The sequence below is a fragment of the Homo sapiens genome, chromosome 13, assembly GCF_000001405.40.
Source record: "Homo sapiens chromosome 13, GRCh38.p14 Primary Assembly".
Classification (NCBI taxonomy): Eukaryota; Metazoa; Chordata; class Mammalia; order Primates; family Hominidae; genus Homo; species Homo sapiens.
Genome location: NC_000013.11, coordinates 99,289,630 through 99,316,711, shown reverse-complemented (window position 1 = coordinate 99,316,711; position 27,082 = coordinate 99,289,630). Strand labels below are relative to the sequence as shown.

Sequence of the window (27,082 nt, the reverse complement as noted above, 5' to 3'; positions counted from 1 at the left end):
CTCTGGGTTCTGAAGCCTCTCATTGCCTGTGTGGTCCCCATTATGTCTGCCTATGTCTTCACAGTATCTGTGTGTTTTCTCATGGCTGGGCTCCTTGAGGACAGGGGCTACATCTCACCCAGTGGGTGATACTGATTTAAGTATTGGATGGCTTGAGAGCCCACAACGTCATAGCCCATTGCACAGGGCATGATGTTATGGGCTCTCAAGTCATTGGATACTTAAATGAGCCTTAAGCATTTTGGCTCTTCCGATTATGATTCAAGTCTTCATTCATTCATTCATTCATTCATCCATTCATTCATTCATTCAACAATGTCCCTGGTTGTAGTGGGGAGAGACAAAGGCACAGAAACACATGCAAAGGCTTGGAGGGGAGGGAGGCAGGTGGAGGACAGACATTTTAGCACAAAGGAGTTCAGTTACACTCCTTCAAGGTGGGCACAGGGGGAGTTGACACCAGACAGTCAAGAAGAACCCTGCATGCCATTCATGCTAAGGACCTAGATTTTATCAAGGAGGCAATGAGGCATCTCCACCTCTATTTTCTGATCTCAACTTCTCCCTCTCAAAGTTACCGGAAATATTACAAAAATATTGGAAATTTATATTATTTTGAAAAACTATCCGTGGTAGTTGCATCTACCTTTCTGCTTTCGGCAGGGCTAAGGGGGATCCCTCATGGTGAGCTGTGTAACACTGTGGAAACGGCACTAGATATTAGGTTGGTGGAAAAGTAACTGCAGTTTTTGCCTTACTTTAATGGCAAAAACCGCAATTACTTTTGCACCAACCTACTACAATGGCCCCGTGATGAAGGCCATGCTGTGCCTCTTCATCCAACTAAGACCCCCTTTCCCCGAGAGATGAAACATACTACTTGCTTTATGCCAAAAACAAAACAAGAAATACATTTACAATCTCAGAAAAATGAATAGTGGTAGCTATAGAGATATAAATTATTAATTAATAGTAACCAATTGACTTAACTCTTATTATCTGTTCAGATTACACTAAACACTTCATGCTATCTTTAAAATACCTCTGTAAGGTAGATATTATCATCCCCATTTGATAGATGGGGAAATGGGGGCTCAGAAAAAGTAAGTGACAAAGCAAATCATTACCAGACCAAGTCATTAAACCGAAATTCAACAACCTGGCTCCAAAGACTTTCCACAATGCCACACTGAACTCCTACTCCACAATTAATAAAACAGTGTTTTCATTCTCAAAGATTCTACATAGCTTTAGAGTTGGAAGAACTATACAGTGAATGTGAGGCTCAGAGGGTTTCCATGACTCAACCCAAGTCTCATGGCTGGAGACAGCCATGCTAGGACTAGAACTTGGGTCTCCTGAGGGAGGTCTGGAGTGCTCTTCGAATTCCACATGGCCTCTGTCACAACAACTTTAAAAATATTAAATCTGCTATAGCAAATCCTACTCATAAGAATCAAATGCAGAAACGGGCTATTTGGTTACATGGATATCAGGTAGGATCAGGGGGCGTGTAACGGTACGGGGGTTGAGAGATGGAGAATAAAAAGATTTCATGAGAAACGGTTGTAAAAGTGGTAAGAAAACGCCCCAGATGAGCCATTGATAACACATGACAGCAGACTGGAGAAGTGAGAGGAAATGCTAAAGGTTAAAAGGGGAGGGAGGAAGGCATTCTGAAGTGACGCCAGTATCCGGTTAGAGTGCGTGGGATAAGGAATGTTATGAGTATTAATCAGTGGATCAAAAGGCCAAGCGACACATGGTGACACAGGAAGCTGTAGAATAAAACTACATCAAAAGCCGTGAGAGTAAAAGAAAAGTGACAGGTAGTACAGATAGAAAACTGAAAATCATTCTCCTACCACAGACCTGGAGCCCAGCAGGGAGCAATTGACATTCGCTGAGGATTGGCAAAGAAGCTTTTCAAATGTAACCTGGACAGTAGTACTCTAGTAGTCTTCACAGCAAACCATTTAGCAAATGGTGACGCTACCATCACAGCTTCACAAACAAGGAAATAATCAAGCTGACAATGCTTCTTGAAAACCCCAAAGCTCGGGTTGGTAGAGCACACCGGGTTTCTTCTTCAGAGCTTTATTTGCGACACTGTATTCAATAAATTAATTTTGACACTGATTTTCTACTTTCTACTTTTTGATTGTTCTCATTTGTTTCCACTTCATACTATGATTGTTAAAAAGTACGCACATGCAATTGTACAATGAAATGAAAATATTTTCCACAGATACAAATTACAGTGAAAGCTCTTATCAGATTTCTAAAGACTATGAAAGTATTCTAGTATCTTCTATACCTTGATGTTCTTGTTCTGTAACACTTCCTTTAAACATTTGATATAGATCATGAAGCCAAGATTATGGGGGGAAAAAAACCATTGTTTTCAAGGAGATCAAATGAGAAAAAGACCAAAAAAAAAAAAAAAAAAGATCTGGTTAAAGAAAAGTGAACATAAAAATGCATACTGTACCTGCAGTCCCAATATATAAATCAATGTCTTGTTTGTGATGGACAACGGACCCAGAATTTGTGCCACTTGGACTCTTGGTATGGAGCAGTAAAATGGTACAAACAGAGCAAACACAGGTGCCAGGCTATGCAAACAAATAAAAAAAAATCACTATAATAGTGAATTTTAAACACAAATGGCAGATGTATCTTTGAAGTAACACTGCTTATAATTTTATTTCAGTCTGAAAGCATGGTCTTAGATATACATATTGATTTTCAAATATGATTCATGTCCAAAATAATTTGTACTTATAGAACACTTTATGAAAACTCTAATCATTCTATCCTTATTGACCCTCCTGAAACCACTGCAAAGAAGTGGTTCAGCACCTACTAAGTGTGAGAAAAGTGGAGGCTATGTTTTCTTCCCAGGTATTACTAAAATCTAATGAGAGAAACTAGACAAATCGAAAGCAGCAAACATTAGAATTCTTCAGTCAAATCCAAAAGCCTCATCTCAAGCCCTGTCCAGTGATCTGTCGCCATGGCACTGGCACGGTTCACCTCTGGCCCTCCCTTCCTCACATTCCTTCCTCCCTTTGTCTGAAACCCTGCTTCTCAGTGGTTGCCCAGTGATTTCTTACACCACTCTTCTGGCTTCTCCATGGTTCCATTATAGCCTTTTCTTCTTGCTCTCTCATCTCCTCATACAATCTCAACCCTTTCTATAGCTTGGGCTAAGAAAATGAAGTGAGACCTAAAACTGCCTGCCCACCCCTCACCTGGTTCTGAATGTCAATTTGACACCTTCACCTTGACAGATTCAAAAGTCTTATGTGTCTTTCTACTTACAGTCTTGCTTCTCTCTAATCCATTTCTTAACATTGTTGGCAGTACTCTCTTCCTAAAATACAACTCTGATCACAACACTCCCTTGCTTAAAAACCCTTCCTTCCGGCCGGGCGTAGTGTCTCACGCCTGTAATCCCAGCACTTTGGGAGGCCGAGGCGGGCGGATCATGAGGTCAGGAGATGGAGACCATCCTGGCTAACACGGTGAAACCCCGTCTCTACTAAAAATACATAAAATTAGCCGGGCTTGGTGGTGGGCACCTGTAGTCCCAGCTACTACTCGGGAGGCTGAGGCAGGAGAATGGCGTGAATCCAGGAGGCAGAGCTTGCAGTGAGCCAAGATCGCGCCACTGCACTCCAGCCTGGGCGACAGAGCGAGACTCCGTCTCAAAAAACAAACAAACAAACAAAAACAAAAAAAAATAAAAAACAAAACAAAAAAACCCTTCCTTCCATAGGCTCCAGTATCCAAAGATAAAATGCTTCATAAAGATGTGATGGCAAAGCTCCCCAGTTCGCTTTCATCACTGGAGTCTGCCACCACTGTCCTCCTCTCTGCTTCCCCTCATCTGGCCCAACACACACAAGGCCCTCTCAAAAATCCACACAGCTGCTCCCTGAACACGCTGGCTGCTTTGACTCTCCACTGACGCAGGTTCTGCTTTCCACTTTCCTGCCTAGGAAACTCAGCTTGTGCAACACTGCTCAGCTCTTCCCACAAGACTTCTCTGACTCCTCCTGGCAGCTGGTGGCTCTCCTCGTGGCCCCCAAGCTATGTCAGTTTCACCACTGCAATGAATCAGTGAATCAAATGCGTGCCAAGGATGTCACGGTAAGATGCCCAGCACAGGAGCTACAACTACGTCCAAGAGAAAGAAGCAGTCCTTGACCTCAAGGAACTCATCACAGGACGGAAATCTTACATTCCTACAAGTGCTAGGCAGGTAATATGAATGAGTAGAGTGGTTTGGGCACAAGCTTGCACCTGTTTTCCATTAAACACTTGGCTTAATTACTCAGTCTGTGTTTTATTTTCCCACTTTTGGGAAAATGGCACCAGAAAAAAAAGAATTATTTCATTATCACGAGAAAAATGCAAAACATATGTTTCACTTCTACAAAGAACTGTCCTTGGTGCCATTTTTGTGGAAACACAGGACCCTCCTGGCCTCTTGCGCAATTTCTCATCCTTGATAGAGACTACGTTATTTTAAAAAATGCACTGTCCTCTCAATTCTACTGTTAAAAACAAAACCAAACCAAAATACAACACACACAAAACAAATGTGATAAATGGCAGCCGCATCAACTGCTATCAACACAAACGCAGCAAATGCTAGAACAGGGAAAACTCCAGCCAGTAAGGCCTAAGTGCAGGCACTGTGTCAGGACTGGGGACACAGAGATGTGAGATACACCTGGCTAGCCATCCAGTGAGAAGGATGGCAGGGACTGGGTGGCAGACGGAGGTGCACGGCACAGCGGGTTCCTACCCCCACTTGCCCAGTCTAGAATTCCTCACGTATCAGTCCTTCTTCCCAGGCTGAGCACCCCAGGACAGGGAAGAAGAGGCAGTCCTGGTTCTCCTAGCACCTGGCACAATGCTTGGCACAGTTTAGGAGCTCACTACATTTAGGGCCACAAAATAATCCTTATTCTAGAACAACTGTATGACTCACATTTGAATTGACTATACAGAGTTCTCAAAAACCTCCCATTAGATTATTAATTCTGAGAGAAAGCATCATATTTTATCTAGGTTTGCCAAATGCAGATTCTTATACATGATCCATATTCAATATTGGTTGGATTTTTTAAAATTAACAAAGCAGTTTTTAAATACTACACAGAAGAACTGCTTTTGTCCAATTATAAACCCAAGCACAACTGATTAAAACAGCTGGGCCTTCTTTTCATGGAAAAGTATGAGTTAGTCACTCCTGGGCATAAATCTTCCAATGCCTCCCCACCTACAGTCATGACAAAGACGTCCCAGGCCCTGAATCTCCATCCCCATTCTGATCCTGTGCTCCGCAGGACAGCACCTTCTCAGAGAGGTCCTCCCTGACTGCCCCATTTCAAACCGCACCTCCCGCCCTCACAGCCTTCCCCCTCTGCATTCTCTACTCTCTTCCTGACTGTCCTCCCCCACAGCACTTACAGCCTTCTCATCACTGCCTATCTATCTTAAAAGTAGAATGGAAGCTTCACATAGATGGGGATTTTGGTCTGTTTTGTTTTATTCCCACTGTCTAGAATTGTGCCTGGCATAGAGTAAGGTTTCAATAAATATTTGCAGAAGAAATGAATTTTCCTTTAAAACAGTAAAACCATACAGCAGAACTTGCCTTTTGTTTTAAAAAGCCCCCTTCCTTTTTATCATTTTTAATGGGATTAAAACACATGGTTTCATATGTAGCTCAAAATATGGCCTGCTCTCTTGGTGATTATAGAACCCTATTTGGGGAGCCAATCGCACCAGAGGTCTCTTACCACAGAACATGCCCTTGGAGGCGCTTAATTCATAGAAGTTCTTCTGTTTACATTTAGTAATAAAGTACAAATAGTGATGTTATAACTAAATAACCTAAAGCAGAGTTCTTTTTTGAGGTTACATTTCAACGTAAACTAAAAAAAATACTGGTAGAAATTTTAATGACCACAGTTTACATTTCACATACCAATAGAAGTTTAAAAACTCCTTTAAAAATATTAATCACTGTATAATTTTAAATGATGACTAAATACTAGGCCACACATACACATTTCAGACCAAAATTATATGGGCTGTTCTGCAGAAATTTTCCGTTGCTATTTCTACACACACAGACTTCACAAAATACCATAATGTTATTAGTCACTGACCAGTCTTTTTCTTTTCCTTATTTTATGACAACATCTGTTCTCTATACTGTCAACAGTAATTCAGTTTGACCTTTTTCATACTGTGAAGAACTACCTTCTGGAAGCCCTTTCTGGCTTAAGCAGATGAGGCTGGTAGCACAGAAAAGAGAAAGCAGGTTATAAACATTTCATCCATCCTTTCTTTTTTTCTTGAGACACCGGTATCTGTCAGTCACCCAGGCTGGAGTAGAGTGCAGTGGCATAATCACGGCTCACTGTAGCCTCTAATTCCTAGGCTCAAGCAATCTTCTCGCCTCAGCCTCCAGAGTAACAGGGACTACTGGTGTGTGCCACCACACCTGGCTAATTTTTAAACTTTTTTTAGAAACAGGGTCTCGCTGTGTTCCCCACAGTGATCTCAGACTCCTGGCATCAGGCAATCCTCCTGCCTCAGCCTTCTGAATTGCTGAGATTACAGGCGTGAGCCATTGCTAATTCATCCTTTAAAATCACTAATATTTACTGAGCATCTACTGCTATATATTCATGATCGCACTCGATAGAAAACATAAAATAACAGAGACACCTTGTTAAGGTTGCAAATGTCCATTTCACTTCTTCTATAGAAAAGGTCACTGGATGTGGTGGCTCATACCTGTAATCCCAGCACTTTGGGAAGCCAAGGTGGGCAGATGGCTTGAGGTCAGGAGTTTGAGACCAGCCTGGGCAACATAATGAGACCTTGTCTCCACACACACACACAAAAAAATACAAAAATTAGCTGGGCGTGGTGGCATGTGCCTGTAGCCCCAGCTACTTAGGAAGCTGAGGTGGGAGGATCACTTGAGCCCAGGAGGCAGAGGTTGCAGTGAGCCAAGATCGTGCCACTGCACTCCAGCCTGGGCAACAGAGTGAGACCCTGTCTCCAAACAAACAAACAAAAAAACTGTAAAGGCCAACTCTACTTTTACAGTACAATCACAACTCAAGAAACCCTGGTAACTTTCAACAGCAATAAAAACAAGGTTTGTGAGCTCATGAAATGATCTAATATACAGCTTCAGCGGCCTCTTACAGGATAATGACCCCATCACCTCTTCTTCATCTGCCTGACTACTCTGATATCAAAAAAAAGGGGCTGGGCACGGTGGCTCACACCTGTAATCCCAGCACTTTGGGAGGCCAATGCAGGCAGATCATGAGGTCAAGAGATTGAGACCATCCTGGCCAACATGGTGAAACCTTGTCTCTACTAAAAATACAAAAATTAGCTGGGCATGGTGGCATATGCCTGTAGTCCCAGCTACTCGGGAGGCTGAGGCAGGAGAATTGCTTGAAGCCGGGAGGTGGAGGTTGCAGTGAGCCGACAGCACACCCCTGCACTCCAGCCTGGTGAGAGCGAGACTCTGTCTCAAAAAAAAAAAAGAAGGTTGGGAGGACAGATCCAGTTTGTCAGAGGAATTACTTGAACTAGCTGAGTCCTTCACTATATAAAAATGTTTTACTTAATATAACTATTTCAAAATTAACAGGCAAAACCCCACCAGAATGGTCTTTCAACAAACTGAAAAATTTATCAACAGTGTCTTCTTCAAGTACTCTGCAGCCTAAGTTTTAAATGAACTAGTTCTAGAATATGATGTCATGTTTATCCACCAAGTCATAAAATCTCTGTATTACCCCCTCATAGAATTTTTGTACTAGGAATTACCTTGGAGATCATTTAGTTCAATACCTTTATTTTATACACAGTGAGGTGGCGGCCCAAAGAATTCAGCTGACTTGCTTGATGCTCTTTCTTGTGTCTGACAATGTTCCTCCATACTCACAGCACTTTAGACGTTAGAAGAACCTAATGACATCTGTGGGAGGCAAAAGCTACTCGACTATTTTTACAGAATCCTGGAGCAGAAAGGCTTCTGAGATCACAGAGTTACAAATTCCTACCAAATGATTCAATTCTGTTTACATCATCCCTCAAAATCATCAAGTTTACTCAAGCATCTAAATAAGAAACAGCATATTCCATTTTTCAAAATAATCACAACTTTTGGGAATGACTCTCATCTTTTGATCCAAAAGCTATGTCCAGTAACTTCTTACTGACCCTCCCGCTAGTCTCTGGAGTTAGGAAGACTGACACAAGCAATGTAAACACTTTTCTATGAGAGTTTCCACAAGCATAAGGATAATGACCCTATGCCTACAAAGCATACACATCCCCAGCTTATTTAATCAGTTCTCCTAAGACCTGCTATCCAGGCCCCTCACTGCCACAGGTGTTATCTATGTCTTCGTAAAAAGCAGCACCCAGAAGTGGCTGGGAATGGCCAGATCAGTCCTGACTAAGTGTAAACATCACCTCTCCTGATCTGAGTGCTACATATCTGGTAATTTAGCCTACAAATAAACTGCATTCTGACAGACACGTTAGTTGGTTTAAACTGAGTCAACTACAACTATGAGGTGAATGGCATGAGTCTCTTTCACCCTGTGCTGAAGAGGCTGGATTTTATCTATAATGGGCCTCCCTTCAACTGTTTCCCTGTTATTCAAGTACTCACACAGCCTCTGACTCAGGCAGCCTCTCGACTGAAAACGGCGACTAATCCAGTCCACTCCACATCCTGGACTGTCACTCACCCCCACGCCACAGAAACCTGTTTCTTTCTCATAAGCTGTGGATAAGGTGGAATGTGTAAACTACTCCCTGATACCAAGTTTCCAGGTAAAAAGCACTGTCAAAGTTGACACTATTTTCCTTAAAACATTTAAAAACCCATACTTTTACATGCAAAATCAATATAAAATCATCAGTAACTTGGTCTTTTTTTTGGTTAAGGTTTATTGCTTCAGTCTCTTTCAAAGAATTTTTTGATACTTAAACCTTTACAGAAAAATTTATAAAGTTCCACAGATATCAACAATTCATAAATTCCAAGGGGCTTTTGGATAGTTTTTTTTAATCACTATAAAAAATTTCACTTCCCATTTAAAACAAAAAAAAACACAAAGTGCACACACGTACACGAGGCTAACTGCTCATTACATGCTCAGTCACAGGGTGACAGAGAAAAAAAAAGTCACCACCATAAAAGGAGGTCTGCACAGCCTCTCTTAAAACAACATGCCACAGTTAAAACTTACTTCAGTTTGGACAACTACTCACAGCTACTACACAGAGACCCGAACGAGTCACTGATATGTAAGTACAAGATCTTTTGCTTTTTCAACAAACTTTTTAAAGAAAAACTTTAAAAGCCTAAGTTTTAAGGTAAAAGGTAAAAAGGAAAACAATCTATTTAAGAACAAGCTACCATCACTTCTAACAAAAATTATATTAATAATGTAAGTTTACTCTCTCTGCTGACTGGTAGGTCTAGTTAGTTCTTATAAAGTTGACTGAAAGCGATGGGTCCACCAGAAATATCTTTGTCAAAAAATAGGGCTCACTTCATGTACTACTGTATAAACTCACAATGACAAAAGACAGTATCAAGCAAAACTATGCAAATAATGCCAATATTTCAGGATAACTTAGTATGAAGGAAAAGGAACAAAGTTATTTTAATATAGAATATTCCTATGCTATAGGAATTATTAGAAATATAAGATTATTTCTCAGGATAGAATCTCAGGGGTAGAATTCCTAGGGCAAAGGGTATATTTTCTAAAGCTTTAGATATAAAACGGTACTTTTTGGTCTACAAAAACATTTTACCAATTTACCCTCCCGCCAGCAAAGAGTACCAATCTTTGCTTTTTAAATGCTAAATACTACTAATTAGATAAGTGAAAAAAAAGTCTGTTGTGTGGTTTATACTTGTGTTTACTTAGACTAAACGTATCTTTTCTATGTGCCTGAGGGGAAAAAATCACAATGAATTCTATGCAGTGCTTTGGCAACATTTATGTCCAGGTTGGGAATGGTGGTAACAGAAACTTGGCAAAATAGAAGCTGTGAAGAGACTTCCTTTAAAGGGCAGTGAGGGTTTTATATATGTGTGTTTGTGTGTGTGTTGGGGGAGGGGGGCGTGGTATTTTGTTTTTTTGGTGTCACTCTGAGTACAATATAGTGTAATAAGAGCAAGGGCTCTGAAATCAGGATCAAATGAAATTTACAAGCTGTGTGGCCCCCCCACACACAAGTTACCTAATATCTGGCTTCAGCTGCTTTACCTGTAAAATGGGGAGTATTACTACTGCCAAGTCCTTACAACATTGCCTCTCATTATAAGTGCTAAAAAACTGTCTCCCATCATTCTTCTCCCATCTCTCTGGCCACTGACGTACCAGAGGGTGAATCCAACAGATATGTTATGGATATTTTACATAAAGACCCTGAATCAGGCTGGGTGTGGTGGCTCACTCCTGTAATCCCAGCACTTTGGGAGGCCGAGGCAGGCGGATCACCTGAGATCAGGAGTTCGAGACCAGCCTGGCCAACATGGTGAAACCCCATCTCTACTAAAAATATAAAAGTTAGCCAGGCACGGTGGCACTCACCTATAATCCCAGCTACTCAAGAGGGTGAGGCAGGAGAATCCCTTGAACCTGGGAGGCGGAGGTTGCAGTGAGCCGAGATTGCGCCACTGCACTCTAGCCTGGGCGACCATGCGAGACTCTGTCTCGATAGATAAATAAATAAATAAATAAATGGCCCTGAGTCTATGGATGATCACACATCTAACTGTGCTTACTGGTAGGACTGCACACTTCTTATATTTTAGCATGTTTTCTCTCTGCGGGTTCACTGCACTTTTTGGACATAAAACCACAAAGAATATGCTACTCCACAAAATGTTCACTCACATGTTTATGTATCGCGTTAGTGACAATGGTAATGATCCCTTGCATAAATTACTTTCATCTGGCTTCCTAGAGCTAATTAGTACCATGACCAGTCAGTTAATGGAATAAATATTAACTCAGGTTTCTATATGACTTTAATTCATTTATTTATTCTATAGATATTTACTAGATATCTATTGTAGGTTGGTTCTGTAGCATTCTATAGGATAAAATGTTGGATGAGATCAAGTCATCATCCTCAAGAAGCTTACATTTAAAAGAGCTTCGCACCTAATAAAGCCGTTTACAGGGATACTTTTCTCTCTGCTATGGTTAAGACCTGCTGGAGTTGTTAGGCAGCCCTGGACGTGGCCTGTGTAGAGGACGCGTGGTGTTCTCCAGTCTGGGGGGTTTATCACCTTCTCAAGAAGTCTGGGCATTGTATAAAATGAGATAACACATGTGAGAATCCTCTGAAAGCTGTGACAGTAACACAGATGGCTGTGGTGTTTTGGAAGCCCAAAGAGAAGAATAAAAATATTTTGTTAAATCTCTGCAAATATCTAAAAAGTAGTTTAAAAATCAATTAACAGCATAAAAGCCTATTCTAGATATTCACCATCTTTTTTCAATCGAAATTTCAGTCTAAATTGTTTTATTATTAAAATACTGTTAAAACAGTACTCTAAATCCATTTATAAAACCTTTACTTACTTTAAAATATGCTACAAATAAACTAATAAACTCCTTCATTTGAATCAACATCTCTTCCTCCCTGCTCCCATTCCCTTCCCCCAGTTCTCCTAGTCTCTCTTGTTCAGATAGGTATGAGTTAGTGTACGTTAAGGTTTTGAGATGCCTTCCTATTTTACTTGTTTTCTACCCATAATAGCAGATCACGTCGGAAATAGGAGATAAAATGTATTGTACTGAATGTGACTTCTGAAGCCAAACTGCCTGGGTCTGAATCCTAACATTTAACAGCTAGGTCTTTGGTCACTTAAGTGCCCTGGTGCCTCCGTTTCACCTTCTGTCAATGGACTTGTGAAAGTTCTGAGAGGATTCAATGAGTAAACACACATAGAGTGCCCAGGGCAGTGCCTGGAACACAGTCTCTGCTTAGTAATTTTAATTGATTATTATTCATCAAGGGCTTACTGGGGTGTAATAAAGAACCTTTCATTAAGGATTAAGAAAGCTGCAATGTTGCTATTCTTTAACTAATGGGTATTTATTGAATATCGATCATACATCACCTAGAGATACAAGAAATTAACACCATAGGGTCCCCACTCACAGTACTTCACAGGCTCATGGGAGACAGGGAAGAAAATCAATGATGCAGACACTATGACAGAGCACAGCACTCTCACAAATACACCCACACTGCCTTTCAGAGGATGGAGAACAGGAATGCTCCTGGGATACTTAGAACTAAGGCTTGAAGGAAAGTAAGAGCTAAGGATACAGGATAGGGGCCAGAGGACATCAAACAGAGGGAAGAATGTTACCGGGCACAGAGTTGTGAGGGAACGTGGGATATCCAAAGGTTCTAAGTAATTTTGCATGCCTGGAGCCAGGCCACGATCAGGGGAAGCTGACCAGCAACCCTCCTGAAGAAGGAATGGAGCTCAGATCATGAGGGAACTTGTGTGTCATGACACAGAGCTTGTGGTTTGCCTGGGGTTGGATGGGCCCCGTTTGAGAGCCTGGCGGGAAGCTGCTGCCGTGGCTGCGGGCAGAAGGGCGGGAATGGCACACAACAGGCAGACAGACAGACACGGATGTGCAGCAGAGCACAAGGCTGAGGCACAGGGACTGCTCGCTGACCAGAGGCAGCAGGTGAGGGAGAACACGGAGTCCTGGGCGCCTTCACGACCCCTGCCTTGAGTACCACAGTAAGATCCCTGAGCGAATGACCGAGTTGACCTGGAATTCAGTTTATCCATAAAATAATGATATTTAATGTTCCTCCCTAATTTCCATCTGATAAGAGACAAAAACAAAATTGAAACTCCTTGAACTTGAAAGAGAAAAGGTACATATTATTTCCAGAAACATTCAGGACTCAGAGGAGAAATATTATAGACACAGAGCTTCATTATAAAGAGCCTTTTTATATTATGCAGTTTTCCCACATGCTGCATCCTACAAATCATGCCAGATACAAACACAGAATATCTTTCTTACACTAAAATGAGTATTATGGTGGGATTCTTAGTTTCTTAGTTCTCTAAACATATGTCATCTTCATCTTCAATAACTTCCATACTTTTCAATATAAAAGCCACCAAAAGCCACATAGGTGGCTTTTACCAGTGAAAGGTGAAAGAAAATAACTAGAATATGTGAAACCCCAAATGTGCAAGTGGGTGTTCAACCAAAGAATTCCCGTGCTCAAGCACCTTTCCATCATTTCCAAGGAGCGCGTCTATGAAGCCGAAGTGGGTCTTTGCTGCACATCCACTGGGTTCAGGACACATATAAAGCACAAAGAGGAAACAGTAGACTGCTAAACCCTTTTTCAGTCTTGAAGATGTTTTTCTGTCTTTTTCTGTCTTGAAGAAGTTCTCTGTACTTGGTCCTATAAATGGCCTTTCGCAGATCTATTGGGAGCTGGTCTGACCCAGGATATGCAATGGGGTTGGCAGGCTGGTCACAGAGCTCCTCAATAAGGCTGCCTCTACTAAGCCCCTCGGCTAGTCACACTCCATAAGCCAGAAAGCAAGCCCCCAGGAGGCAGGGGAGGTCCCCCAAACAGACGGACCACAGTCAACTCTATGCTGAATATCATTGTTCTCAATCCTTCTAAAAAATGAATCATGGACATAAACATAGCTATCAATTTAGGACTCAAAGTTGGCTGGGAAAAAGTCACCTTACAGTGTACAAAGATGTATTTAACCAGGCCACAGAGGCATGTACTGACTACTGTGACAGTTGGTTAGCAGCGTATTATTAATAGAATGGACAATTTGACTTTACTAATGAAGCACCAGGAGGCTCTGACTATGCTGGTCACAGCTCCACAGCAGTGCAGGTTCCTCTTGCACACCAGGAATGCATGTTTCCCACTGTCCATTTTACAGGCAAACAACACCCATAATCCCTCAGATGATGGCTGTTTAGTCAATGAAAAAGGTGATGAGAAAAATCACTAGTTGAATGCTAGGACCCAGTATGTGTGACACTGGGCCAAATTTAGATGCCCCTGTTTGAACAAGAAGGCGTTTTCAAATAATTGACAAATACTTATCAAACCAGGTAACCAGAGGAAGAAGTAATGAATGATTTCTTTCTTCCCTGGAGCAGGTTTGTTCTCAAGGGAGCTGAAACAGCCCCAGCTTGCCATCCTGATACATCTGTGCTTATCTTTATTTCCTCAGTAGAACCATATCTTTGAAATTTCAATTAACCCTGAGCTTTCATCTTCCCCCTCCTTTCCAATGATTTTATTTCTCCCTGCTCCAGAAATTTTTCCTCAGTCTTAACCTTTCCTCAAAGTAGCCAAGGACAGTGTATCAGATCAAACACTCCTCACTTAACAATATACACATATAATTAGTATCTGTGTGGCTGCATCTGGGTGGCTCCCCTGGCTGTTTTTGAAAGTGAGCTTCTGGAAGTTCCTCTTTGGTACATCCACTGTGGGCACATTGATTTAGGTCACCTCTCTGTATAAGCTGACTCTAGAGAAGACTTGACCTACAGAGAAGTCACCTCCAATTGGTGATCATCTCAGCACAACTTGACCCATTCCAGTCATTGCTAGTGGCTACAATTAAACAGAATTCCTAGGTAAGCCCCTTTTCATTCAAGGTGTTGATGATTATTAAAATAAATAAATATTAGAGGGCAAAGGTGACATTTCAGCAAAAACCAAAAGCTGTTATTCTAGCACCAACTAAATCCCCGAATATGGTAAAGGTTTTGTTCTGTTTCTGCCCAAATTAAAGGCTAAGAAAACACTTTAATTACTTGAACGAGTAAATTAGGACCATGGAAGGTACATGTCCTCTGTGAAAAATCACAAATCCCTCCAAGTGGGTATCTAGGGATTTTCTTAGATGCTAAATAAATGAGTTTTGGGGGGCCTTTTATTTTTTTTTCCTTTTGCGGCTAGAAAGAACCTGTCAGTTCATGTCAACATGTCCGGTTATGCAAAAATGAGATGATAATATCTCAAGAAGTGTTAGCAACTCTATTAGCAATGAAATACATTCTAGAGAAAAAAACACACAGGCTCACTTCTCAAAGCATAAGTAAAAATACTTTGGAAGATATTTTGCTGAGGAAGAAACTTACTGTTTTACACATGTTAGGATAACAGTAAAGTTAAAAGGACCAAGTACTGCATTACAGAGGCAAAACTGGGATTGTCTCCTTTGTTTACCAATAAAAATAAGAGAATGGCATAGATGGCTTCCAGGGTGGCTCCCAGCAGAAGGTACAGGAGCCTTGAAGGCCGACAGGGCCCTGTTCCACAGGTGGAACCTGAATAAGGATCCAGGCTTCCTGTGGCCCAGTCATTATCCATGCCCTCCAGGGAAAGGCCTCTGTCCTGACTCCTGTCCCTCAGTGTGGGCAGCACGAAGGACGGCTGAGGGGCCACGTGCATCTTTTCATTAGAATGCATTATGAGGAAGCTATAATTCTGATATTAGTGTTCTAAAGAAAAAAGATTTAGAACTAACATTTCTTTGGGCTTTTCCCTAGGCAATACAATGATAAATGATAATACTTTCTAGTATACCTTAGTTTATATAAATATATCTTAAATAACATGTCAGAAGCTGCTGCCTAATAATTAAAATGTAAAATACTTAAAATATACTTAAGAATAAATTTTCTACCTGAAAATAATTAAAAGATAACTATACTATCCAAATATTGACACTGGTGCACTGTAATGCACAAAGTGAGCAGAGTACTGCTGTGTATGAGGAGGAACCCAGCACATACTGCTATGCATGTGAAAAAATCCTGAGGAACACCTCACTCAGATAACAGCACATGTTCAACGCTATATATTCACCCTTCAGTTCCAGACCCTCTAATACAAAAAGGTACCATCTCTGTATTCCCAGCATCTAGCACATGGAGGCACTAAAAACCATTTTCCTGCTGAATGAAAGAATGGACTTAATTCAAGTTTCAGAAAGGAATCCTTAAGATGATTAAAGGAAGATATAAAGTAATATCTCTAAGGGAAGATTATAATAAATTGGGACTGGCTGATATAAGAATGGGATAGTAACAGTCACGCATATGAAAGGATTTTCCTCTCAATTTGGGATCATAAAATTGGCTAAAACTACCACATTAATAACACAGGATAAATATAAGCAAGAACTAAAGTGACATATTAGGGCCAGCTAGCGGAATCATCCTTCAAGAGGTTACTAAACATCCAAATATCCAAAGCATGCATTTACCTTTACCTAAGATCATTTCCAAGCCATCCCACTTACACGTCCACATTCTGCAAATGCCTTTCTTTGGCCACCTCCAGTGCACAACGGTCGTCAGTTAAGGACCCTCAACAGGCTACCCTTGGAGCTCAATGATGTGTGGCCACAAGTGGCTTCCCATTTGGGAAGGCACCTCTCCTGGAAGTGGGCACCCCCTGCCCTTAGAAGGAGTTGTCCCTTTGCTCTGGAGCAGCTGGGCAATGTTGCGCATGTGCCATGATATAGTTGAGGATGGCCCTTAGAGCCTAGACCACTTTGAAACCACAAGCCCTCAGTTCTTTAAGGGCAGCATGAAACAGCTGCCTGTGCTAAGGACTGAACAGAGGAAGAAACCTGAAGCCAGGTCATCACAGAGAGGGATCTAGCATGGCATTTAAGCCCAGCGTGGCTTTTAAGAACCACTCCAATTTTTTTCCTGTGCAAAATATAAAATTGATATTTATTGTCAGTTTTATCACCTGCGAAGTAGATAAGGGGTAGCAATGCTCAAGCTCATAGGGCTGCTGTGAGGTTTCTACATGATGACACAATGCAAAGGTACACAACTAGTAAGTCAATGCAGAAATCTGAAAAAGGAACACTGAACAGCAAGCTTTGAAAAGCATGTCAGATAACAAGGTTTTTACAAGAAAAGGGGAACTAAAATTTTTTCCCATTAAAATTTTTTTTACCTATTTATTCATTCCAGTCACTGACTAGAAATGAACATTCTGAATAGAAACGTTCAGCATTAAAAATCTAGAATATATGAGTAAAGCCCCAAAATTACTCATACAAAATTATGTTTTGGCATACAGACATCTTTCTGTGTGTGTGTGTGCGTGTGTGTGTGTATTTGCTTCCCTACCTCCCAAAAAAGTGGCATGTTGTATAATCTGCTTTCCTCACTTAACATAATTCCCAGTCAAGAAACAGGCATTTTCATGTTGCCATTTTCAGAGCTGCACTGTATTCACTGCATGGCTGTATTCCTGTATTCTACTGTATGGCTATGCCATAAAATATTTAATCCCCTAATGAAGGATATTTGAACTGTTTATAAACTATGTAAAACATTCTTGAACTTTTTTCTGAAACTCCTGCAATCTCTGGCTCTGCTAGATGCTGCATCTTATTTGGTGATGCAGTCAGACACGCATTTGTATACAAACTGGCAAGCAATGGCACCTCTGAGTGTCACATAAGTGTTACTTTCCTAATTTCTACAATAATAATTATTCATATGGAGGATTTGCAGACTCTACAGTGAAGTATTTTTTTCCTGCCATGTATTTTAAAGGCAATTCCCATGAATCTGCTTAGAAATACTCAAAAATATACATTTAGATTTTTGGAAAAAAATACATTTTCAAAGAACTTAGAAAAAAATACATTTTCAAAGAACTTAGAAAAATATTAATAAAAGTTATTGTTGCCTATTCCAAAGCTGCAACCCTTGCCTGGAATTTTCACCTCTCTCTTGTGTCTAGTCCTAGTTCCTGAAAAGCTGCTTTTCACATGAAGCCTTTCCCAACTAAATGGAAAAATCTTTTTCTACTTTTATTCCACAATGAAATCCCTATGATTTTCTATTTAAGAACCACTCCATTTTTTTTCCTGCACAAAATGTAAAACTGATATTTATTGTCTTTTATATTTCATTAATTTCTGCAGTTATCTCTATTGTTTTCTTCCACTTGCTTTGGACAAACAGTTCTTTTCTAGCTTCTTGAACTGTATATTTAACATATATTTTAAATCTTTCCTTTTTTAAATAAATGCATTCAAGGCTTTATATCTATCTCAGATTGCCTTATCTGCATCCCACAGTTTTCACAGGTAGTACTTTCATCATTTAGTTCTAAGCATTTCGAAATTTCCACTGTGATTTCTTCTTTAACCCATGAGTTCCTTAGAAGTGTATTTTTTCATTTCCAAACTTATCCTTTATCTTTTTATCATTGGTTTATAATTTAGCTGCACTGTAGTCAAGCAATGTGATCAGAAAATAACTATTTTCTGAAAGCTTTGAGTCTTCTGGTGACCTAGCACATGGTCAAATTTGCATATATGCTCATGTGTCTTCAGTACAAGTTCTGTTAGCTTTTAAATCATGTTGAGTAAATAAGTCTTTAATCTCTTTTCTATCTAGCACATCATAATAGAAATGTGTTAAGATCTCCCACCATGGTTGTGAATTTGCCAATTTCTCCTTCAAATTCCGTCAAATTTTGCTGTTACATGCAAATTTCATGATTATTTTTATATTCTTTGTAGACTGTTCTTTTTAACCTTTGCAGTGACCCTCTGTATTCCTATTAATATTGAATTTGCCTTGAATTCTATTTTTTCTGATGTTAATACTGCCATACTACCTTTTTATTGGTTGGGATTTGCCTGGTATGTATTTTCTCTTGCCTTTATTCTCAACCTTTCTTTATCACTTTGAGCTGTATCTCTTCTAAGCAGCAAACAGCTGGAATTTTTTTTTTTTTAATCTAAACCGATAGTCTCTGTCCTGTAATAGGCAAGCTCAACCCATTTAAGTTTGTTGTGACACATCCCTACCCTCTTGTGTTTTCTACTTACCATCCTCATTCTTTGTTTTTTTCCCATTGTCTCTTTTCTGGATAATAAAATGTTTTATTTCCATTTTTGCTCTCTTTTGCTTTAGGTTTTATTTCCATTTAGGTTATAATGACTAACCTATCAACACTGTACAGAATGCATACCTCTAACATAACATGACCACAATCCTCTGCTAACCCTCAGTGTCTATGAACATCTCAGTTTTAAGGTTGTTAGAATGAAGTTAGCTGAGATCCAAGTCATTTAATACAGCAGGGAGAGAAGCAGATTTGCAGACAGTGCTTTTGATCAGGGTAGAGATAGTCTTTAAGGAAATACTGTATAGTTCTTTAAATATACAGTAGCAACATCACTAGATATGCTGAAAGTGCCCCTTAATTTTGGTGACTTCCAGGTGAGATTTATGTACACACAGTTCTATCAGAGGAATTATTTTTCTTTTAAAAATAATCACACAGGATTTATTGCTCTGTTCTTCCTGCTTTAATCAAAGTTTACCCTCATCTACAGAACTTTATTGTAGGAGTTTTCCATTTTTCAATTTAGTACTTAAAATTTCTGCTTTAACATTATTTATAACAAGAAAAGAATTGGAAAGAATCCAAAAGTTCATCAAGGGAGTAGCTAAGCAAATTATGCATTGACACATTGGAAGACTGTAGAATATCTATCAAATGTTTATATAAAATATACACGACAAATATATACATTGCACTGACATGAAGATGTTTGGTGAATAAAGCAAGAAACAAAATATAAAGTGTGATGCTTGCTACTATGTGCAAAGGTAGAAGTATAGATTGCATGGATCCATGGAGTACTTGCAGATTGATAGAGTTTTAAAATTTAATAATTTCCCCTTGAAGTAGCTTAAGTCTTTTTCTCTCTCATTTTCTTTATCTTTCTTCTTTTTTTGTCATTTTAGTCATGGTTGTTGCGGTCGTCGTCTTCTTCTTTTTAAAAAGAAAATCTAACTTTCAGTTCCTAACATGGACTAAGCCTATTTCTCAGACTTTTAGGTTAACACAAATCAGATCACTGTGGTAAGTTCATATTTCACTACATAAATGTGGTGACTGATTTCATTTCCTGGCAGTGATATGCATTTGGTTAAAAAAAAATCCAACTGAAATTAAATTTAAAAGCAAAGCTTAATGCCTGTCTGAAATGTGGGGTGCTTTACTTAACCAGACAATGATTCAAAAAAGGGAAGGGGAATTTCTGCCTAAAAATTTAGTGCATTCCCTTCTGTCACAAAAGTGCGTTTGCCCTATTTAAATGGTTCTGTTTCCTTTGCCAGAGCTTTGCCAAAGTCAGCAAATTGTGAGAGTAAAAACACAAATTTTATTCTGTTCTTCCTGTTATCATATATGTAACCATATTATAATTATAAACTGTTAAAAATTGCATGTCATGAAATTTTAAAACTTAGATATATAAAAGACAGTTTGGATTGCTTTGATACATTATTTAAACTTTTTTAAAACTAATGAGTAATCAAACTGAATACATATGCTTTTACTTATATGATCCTTCTTGGTTTTTTTCTAGACACCTGGACCACCACCAATGGATATACAAATGGCAAACAATTTTACTCCGCCCTCTGCAACTCCTCAGGGAAATGACTGTGACCTCTATGCACATCACAGCACGGCCAGGATAGTAATGCCTCTGCATTACAGCCTCGTCTTCATCATTGGGCTCGTGGGAAACTTACTAGCCTTGGTCGTCATTGTTCAAAACAGGAAAAAAATCAACTCTACCACCCTCTATTCAACAAATTTGGTGATTTCTGATATACTTTTTACCACCGCTTTGCCTACACGAATAGCCTACTATGCAATGGGCTTTGACTGGAGAATCGGAGATGCCTTGTGTAGGATAACTGCGCTAGTGTTTTACATCAACACATATGCAGGTGTGAACTTTATGACCTGCCTGAGTATTGACCGCTTCATTGCTGTGGTGCACCCTCTACGCTACAACAAGATAAAAAGGATTGAACATGCAAAAGGCGTGTGCATATTTGTCTGGATTCTAGTATTTGCTCAGACACTCCCACTCCTCATCAACCCTATGTCAAAGCAGGAGGCTGAAAGGATTACATGCATGGAGTATCCAAACTTTGAAGAAACTAAATCTCTTCCCTGGATTCTGCTTGGGGCATGTTTCATAGGATATGTACTTCCACTTATAATCATTCTCATCTGCTATTCTCAGATCTGCTGCAAACTCTTCAGAACTGCCAAACAAAACCCACTCACTGAGAAATCTGGTGTAAACAAAAAGGCTCTCAACACAATTATTCTTATTATTGTTGTGTTTGTTCTCTGTTTCACACCTTACCATGTTGCAATTATTCAACATATGATTAAGAAGCTTCGTTTCTCTAATTTCCTGGAATGTAGCCAAAGACATTCGTTCCAGATTTCTCTGCACTTTACAGTATGCCTGATGAACTTCAATTGCTGCATGGACCCTTTTATCTACTTCTTTGCATGTAAAGGGTATAAGAGAAAGGTTATGAGGATGCTGAAACGGCAAGTCAGTGTATCGATTTCTAGTGCTGTGAAGTCAGCCCCTGAAGAAAATTCACGTGAAATGACAGAAACGCAGATGATGATACATTCCAAGTCTTCAAATGGAAAGTGAAATGGATTGTATTTTGGTTTATAGTGACGTAAACTGTATGACAAACTTTGCAGGACTTCCCTTATAAAGCAAAATAATTGTTCAGCTTCCAATTAGTATTCTTTTATATTTCTTTCATTGGGCACTTTCCCATCTCCAACTCGGAAGTAAGCCCAAGAGAACAACATAAAGCAAACAACATAAAGCACAATAAAAATGCAAATAAATATTTCATTTTTATTTGTAAACGAATACACCAAAAGGAGGCGCTCTTAATAACTCCCAATGTAAAAAGTTTTGTTTTAATAAAAAATTTAATTATTATTTCTTGCCAACAAATGGCTAGAAAGGACTGAATAGATTATATATTGCCAGATGTTAATACTGTAACATACTTTTTAAATAACATATTTCTTAAATCCAAATTTCTCTCAATGTTAGATTTAATTCCCTCAATAACACCAATGTTTTGTTTTGTTTCGTTCTGGGTCATAAAACTTTGTTAAGGAACTCTTTTGGAATAAAGAGCAGGATGCTGCAAAGTTATGAGTCTGTCCCTCAATGCTCCCTGTCAACTATCAGTGGGAGTGTCAGGGAAAAGATAATTGGCAATAGACTTTGAACTGCAACATTATAAATGATGATGATGATGACTGAGGCAATGAAAGCACTGAGCTTTTCCTGGAGCTGCCAGCACAGTCTTTTAGGGCCTCTGCTTAGCAATATGAAAAAGACTTTATATGGAGGTGCCCATTGGGAGGAGGGTCTGCTTGCTAAATTCATCTTGAGAATAAAAGACATGCCTATATGATTGGTTTTCTTGGGATCACTAGGGGATCATTTCTCTTTTCTTCCCCCAAGCTGTTAGTACTCTACATCTGTATTTCAATGGTTTGAGTTATCAAGTAGGAGAAGGGTGGTGCATGATGAGCAGTGAAAAATATAGCTGCTGCTTGCTAAATACGATCCGAGTAAAATGCAAACTTACAAAATTAAGCATCTTAGGATTCTTTACAATATTATATACTTGCTGAAATGAGTACCTTAGTATGAGTAGCATGACCTTTCCAGGTAGTCAACTGGTCTGCCTGTTCAAATTTGTTTTATCCCCAAAACTACCCCAATGCAGTATTCTCTGTTGGCAATGACACCAATTTTTATAATGGTAGATAAAGAAAATGTTAATTCTGAGTTGTACTTTAAAAATTTTTTTCAGAAAGGGGGTCTCACTCTGTTACACTTTAAATTTTTATTGGACTTTATATCCTGAAAATATTTTATTTAAAGTTCTCATCTTACCCATTTTCAACTTTTACTCTGTATGAAAATTAATCTTAATGGTTGATTCAACACCATTTACTAGTATATTCAGATTTCCATTACATTTATTTCACAAAGAGCCACCTGATTTTAAAGCCATTGTCAAAAATAGGCACTGGTCTTTGTAACATCTTATGCAGACAGGTGAGACAACACGGATGAAAGCCCAAATCTTACTGCCTTTCCTTCACTCCACCTCTAAACTTTCCCAAGTGAAGGAAAAGAAAGGGCAAAACAACAAATTGTATGTAAGTTGGCACTTAGGTAGTCATCTGAGTTGGATCTCTAAAGAGGAACCATCGTGAAGACTACTAAAGGAAAACCAAAAAGAAAGCTTCCTCCATTTCAGAGCTTCTCTGTGGTGCCCTGGTTCTGTGACTACACTGGAGTAGAGACGCCTTCTGGGATGTATGAGCCAACACACTGTCTTAGGGTAGGCAAGAGTCCTCTCTGGGCTAAGGGAGTCAATTCTTAGGATCCTACAAACAAGAGAGTAAATACCTATGGCATTTGACAACAGAATAACATTCTTTTATCTGTTCAGTTTTCTGCCTCCTCCCTCCACTATACCACAAATCTATATAAATGATTTTATCCAGTCATCAGCAACCATACTGCCAAAAAGGTAAACTCTAATCCTATCTCCAATTAATGTTTTCTTACAAGTCTGTACTCCAATCAAACTCAGCCAATAACTCCCCTTAAAGGCTGCCCATTCTACTCATCAAGCCACTGTTCATACACGGCTGTGGGCATCCTCTCACTGTCTTGTTATTAGTTAGCTTTACATTTATTTCCGGGGCATTCTCCTAACCAGGAGGTCAACTTGGAGAACAGGACAGGGCTGTATAATTGTTATATTCTGTTACAGAACATGACTTTATTATATAACATACTGTTTGAAAATCACAACCCTATAAGTATTTTCTCCATGAATCGGGTGATACATTATTAACAATTTTAAATAATAATTGGGAGCTAGAAAAACTAATCTGGGAAAATGGATCGTTATTATGGCAGTTGACCACATTAAAAAAAAAAACCCTCAAAGCTATTTAGTTTGGATCAGTGTAAATAAATTCACTGACTATTCAGCGAGAGGATAGTAAAAATAGAATAGTGTCAGATGTTAGAAATGGCATCATGTATATGTGAAGAGCTCAATAATTTATAAAACAGTCCATATATTATGTAACATCTTCCTTTCTACAATCCTGTGAAACAGGTTGAGCAAACAGTGTCACCCATACTTTATAAAGAAACCTAACTTCAGAACAGGCACCCTGATAAATTAAAGGCAGCATTAGGAATATAACCCCAGCTGGGCGCAGTGGCTCATGCCTGTAATCCCTGCACTTTGGGAGGCCGAGGCGGGTGAATCACGAGGTCAGGAGATTGAGACCATCCTGGCTAACATGGTGAAACCCGGTCTCTACTAAAAATACAAAAAAAAAAAAATTAGCTGGGCGTGGTGGTGGGCGCCTGTAGTCCCAGCTACTCAGGAGGCTGAGGCGGGAGAATGGCGTGAACCTGGGAGACGGAGCTTGCAGTGAGCAGAGATTGCACCACTGCACTCCAGTCTGGGTGACAGTGCGAGAGACTGTCTCAAAAAAAAAAGAAAAGAAAAAAAAAAGGAATGTAACCCCAATTCTGTATCCTGGCCATAAAGAAGACAACTCAATCATGTGGCCCCTGAAAAGGTGTTAGAAGCCTCGACTGCTTTATTACATGCTAGCCGACTTCATAATCCTTAAATAGGACAAATAACCCAACAATAGGTATAGATTATAAACTTGGCTAAGCTGTGGGCTCGGTGAGGGCAAGTGCCTCTTCTCTTATATATACAGCATTGCCATAGAACCTACACATTGAAGGTCCTCAAATATCTATTTAATTGATAACGTATGTTTTGTATTATTACTAATAAAATTCTAAAGCCCTACTGAAATATCTGTGAAGTTCTTAATTCTCAATGAAAAGAAACAACCCAAATATTCAATTACATATGCTAGAGCACGTGTGTAACTGAAGGCAGTTACACAATATAGAGCGTATGCCCTTGAAGATCCTGTAATTTAAATTAGACACATTAAAGGAGAGCGCTAATTAGCCAACAAGGCAATTTAAAACTAAATACAGAAATAATTTTATATTTCAAGAGGCAAGGGCAGACAGTGGCTCCTACCATTGAGTACAAGGTGGCATGCGATTTTAGAAGGGGAAGCACTGATCTTAAATTAGCCCTTAAAATGGTCTATTTTGGTTACTTTTTGGACCATTGTAATTTCTTATTCTCTTCATAGCTAAAAAATATTTGCTCACTGACTATTTGGGTGAAGAATGAGAAAATGAAAAGCATGTGGATTACAAGTGACCCGGTGACAAGGCCATTATTTTGAACCCAGGGAGGACTACATGAGTACTCATAAGAACTGCTGCCAATGGAAGGTTTTCATTAAACTCAGAAAAGCAGGTTGCTTAAAAGACAGCCCCCAAATTTCTATTCGATTAAGACCTTGCTGATCACTGACTACATGCCACTTTCCAAGTCCTCTACAGGCATCATCTTATTTAACCCTCACTACCTTAAGACATGGTATGACTATCATCCCCATCTTGCTGATGAGGAAACTATAGCAACAAGGTCACATGGTGTGGCAGAGCCGGTTTAATCCCACACTCTCCGGTCCCAGAACCTGTGGCCTGACTTGGAGCATTCATGCCACCACTTACTGAAACTTGGTTAGTAAGAGGTTCCACCCTGTAGCCTGAGCTCCATTCCTCCCTGTCCTATGTCCTCCAGGGCCTTGGACATCTCCCCATCACCACATCTGAATTCAATTCACCTTTCCCCTCAAGCCCCTGAATTTCTCTACAAACTCTACCTGCATTCTCTGTCACCCACATCTGATACTTTTCTCTCATTCATGGGATTCAGGTGGTGAACAAATCCCTACCTGGGTGCTCTCCTCTTAAATGCACTCTTCCCTATCTTTTCTTTTTCTTTCTTTCTTTCTTTTTTTTTTTTTTTTGGTGGTGAAACGGTGTCTCGCTGTCACCCAGGCTGGAGTGCAGTGGCGCAATCTTGGCTCACTGCAACCTCCACCTCCTGGGTTTAAATGATTCACCTGCCTCAGCCTCCTGAGCAGCTGGGATTACAGGTGCCCACCACTGCACCCAGCTAATTTTTGTATTTTTAGTGGAGATGAGTTTCACCATGTTGACCAGGCTGGTCTCAAACTCCTGACCTCAAGTGATCCACCTGCCTCGGCCTCCCAAAGTGCTGGGATTACAAGCGTAAACCACTGCGCCCGGCCTTGCCTGTTTTCTTTGCCCACTACCATCATCCTAGTCCAGACACTGGCCTTGGCACACCTAATTACAACCTCTTTCCCCCAGGCCTCTTGATGAGAGTCAGAAACTTTAGCCTTTCTTTAGGATGCTGTACCAGAAGCCAGCAGATTAACAATAATAAATACTTGCTAACAATTATATAGCATAGTGCTTTAAGCACTTTACATATAAAGTGCTCATTCAAATCTCACAAGAATGCTGTGAGGCTTGTTCTATTTATCAGTCGCACTTTCCAGATGATGAAACTATGCTCCAGAGAGGTTGAGTAACTTGCCCACGGTCACACAGTCAGCAAGTGGGGAGCCAGGCTCTACACTCTGGGGTCTGGCTCCATGGTCTGCACTCTTCATCATCGTATTTTCTCTCTTAAACAAATAAACAGATATGTTCCAGGTCCTCAGAAAGCCTTAAAAGAGACACACACTGCTCACCAAATATCCTCAAGTTCCTTGGGGGTGGGGAGGAAGAGCAGGTGACTACCTCTGACCAATGGGTTGGGGGCAAAAGACGCGTGTGTCACTTCCAGCCCGAGGTGAGAGGGAGTGGCATTCTCCTCTGCCACAGTGTTTGGCAATGTTCTAGATGGTGGCACCTTTGTCAGCCTGGGTCCCTGAATGAGTAAGTGAGAACTCCCACCCCATGCCCCACCCAACTGCATTAGACAAGTGTGCAAACAAGAAACACACTGTGGATTAAGCCACTGTGATTTCAGGGTTATTTCGTGGCTGCAACATAAGCTAACCTGTTCTGATTAAAACAGTGTTTAACCTACTTGGA

At 40.0% G+C, this 27,082-nt stretch overlaps 2 protein-coding genes across 7 annotated transcripts in view, besides 4 other annotated features; one reads left to right on the top strand and one right to left on the bottom strand.

Moving 5' to 3' along the window:
- The window catches only part of UBAC2 (UBA domain containing 2), a 185,651-nt gene that overhangs the window by 69,793 nt on the left and 88,776 nt on the right, over nucleotides 1–27,082 (bottom strand). For all 6 annotated transcript variants that reach the window (NR_026644.2, NM_177967.4, XM_011521083.3 and 3 more), the window contains one exon: nucleotides 2,492–2,615. Coding sequence is in view for 5 of the 6 variants with exons in the window: in NM_177967.4 (NP_808882.1) it covers nucleotides 2,492–2,615 (124 nt within the window). In the remaining variant the exon portion in view is untranslated. The remainder of the gene's footprint in view (nucleotides 1–2,491; nucleotides 2,616–27,082) is intronic.
- Nucleotides 1,350–2,549: an enhancer, noted in NCBI's record as "P300/CBP strongly-dependent group 1 enhancer chr13:99966417-99967616 (GRCh37/hg19 assembly coordinates)". NCBI's record gives its function as "activates an origin of replication core promoter dependent on BRD2, BRD4, P300/CBP, MED14 and CDK7 cofactors, with strong dependence on P300/CBP, by STARR-seq in HCT116 cells {active_cell/tissue: HCT116}" and the evidence as "EXISTENCE:reporter gene assay evidence [ECO:0000049][PMID:35650434]".
- On the top strand, nucleotides 9,313–22,173 carry GPR183 (G protein-coupled receptor 183). Its single transcript, NM_004951.5, has 2 exons — nucleotides 9,313–9,372; nucleotides 20,549–22,173. Exon 2 carries the CDS (start codon nucleotides 20,567–20,569, stop codon nucleotides 21,650–21,652), a length of 1,086 nt encoding a protein of 361 aa, NP_004942.1. The 5' UTR covers nucleotides 9,313–9,372; nucleotides 20,549–20,566; the 3' UTR covers nucleotides 21,653–22,173.
- Nucleotides 12,119–12,665: an enhancer, noted in NCBI's record as "H3K27ac-H3K4me1 hESC enhancer chr13:99956301-99956847 (GRCh37/hg19 assembly coordinates)". NCBI's record gives its function as "activates a minimal SCP1, AML or CMV promoter by ChIP-STARR-seq in primed H9 embryonic stem cells {active_cell/tissue: H9 hESC(primed)}" and the evidence as "EXISTENCE:reporter gene assay evidence [ECO:0000049][PMID:30033119]".
- Nucleotides 12,666–13,214: an enhancer, noted in NCBI's record as "H3K27ac-H3K4me1 hESC enhancer chr13:99955752-99956300 (GRCh37/hg19 assembly coordinates)". NCBI's record gives its function as "activates a minimal SCP1, AML or CMV promoter by ChIP-STARR-seq in primed H9 embryonic stem cells {active_cell/tissue: H9 hESC(primed)}" and the evidence as "EXISTENCE:reporter gene assay evidence [ECO:0000049][PMID:30033119]".
- Nucleotides 14,539–14,598: a silencer, noted in NCBI's record as "silent region_5470". NCBI's record gives its function as "represses an Ori minimal core promoter by ATAC-STARR-seq in GM12878 lymphoblastoid cells {active_cell/tissue: GM12878}" and the evidence as "EXISTENCE:reporter gene assay evidence [ECO:0000049][PMID:35858748]".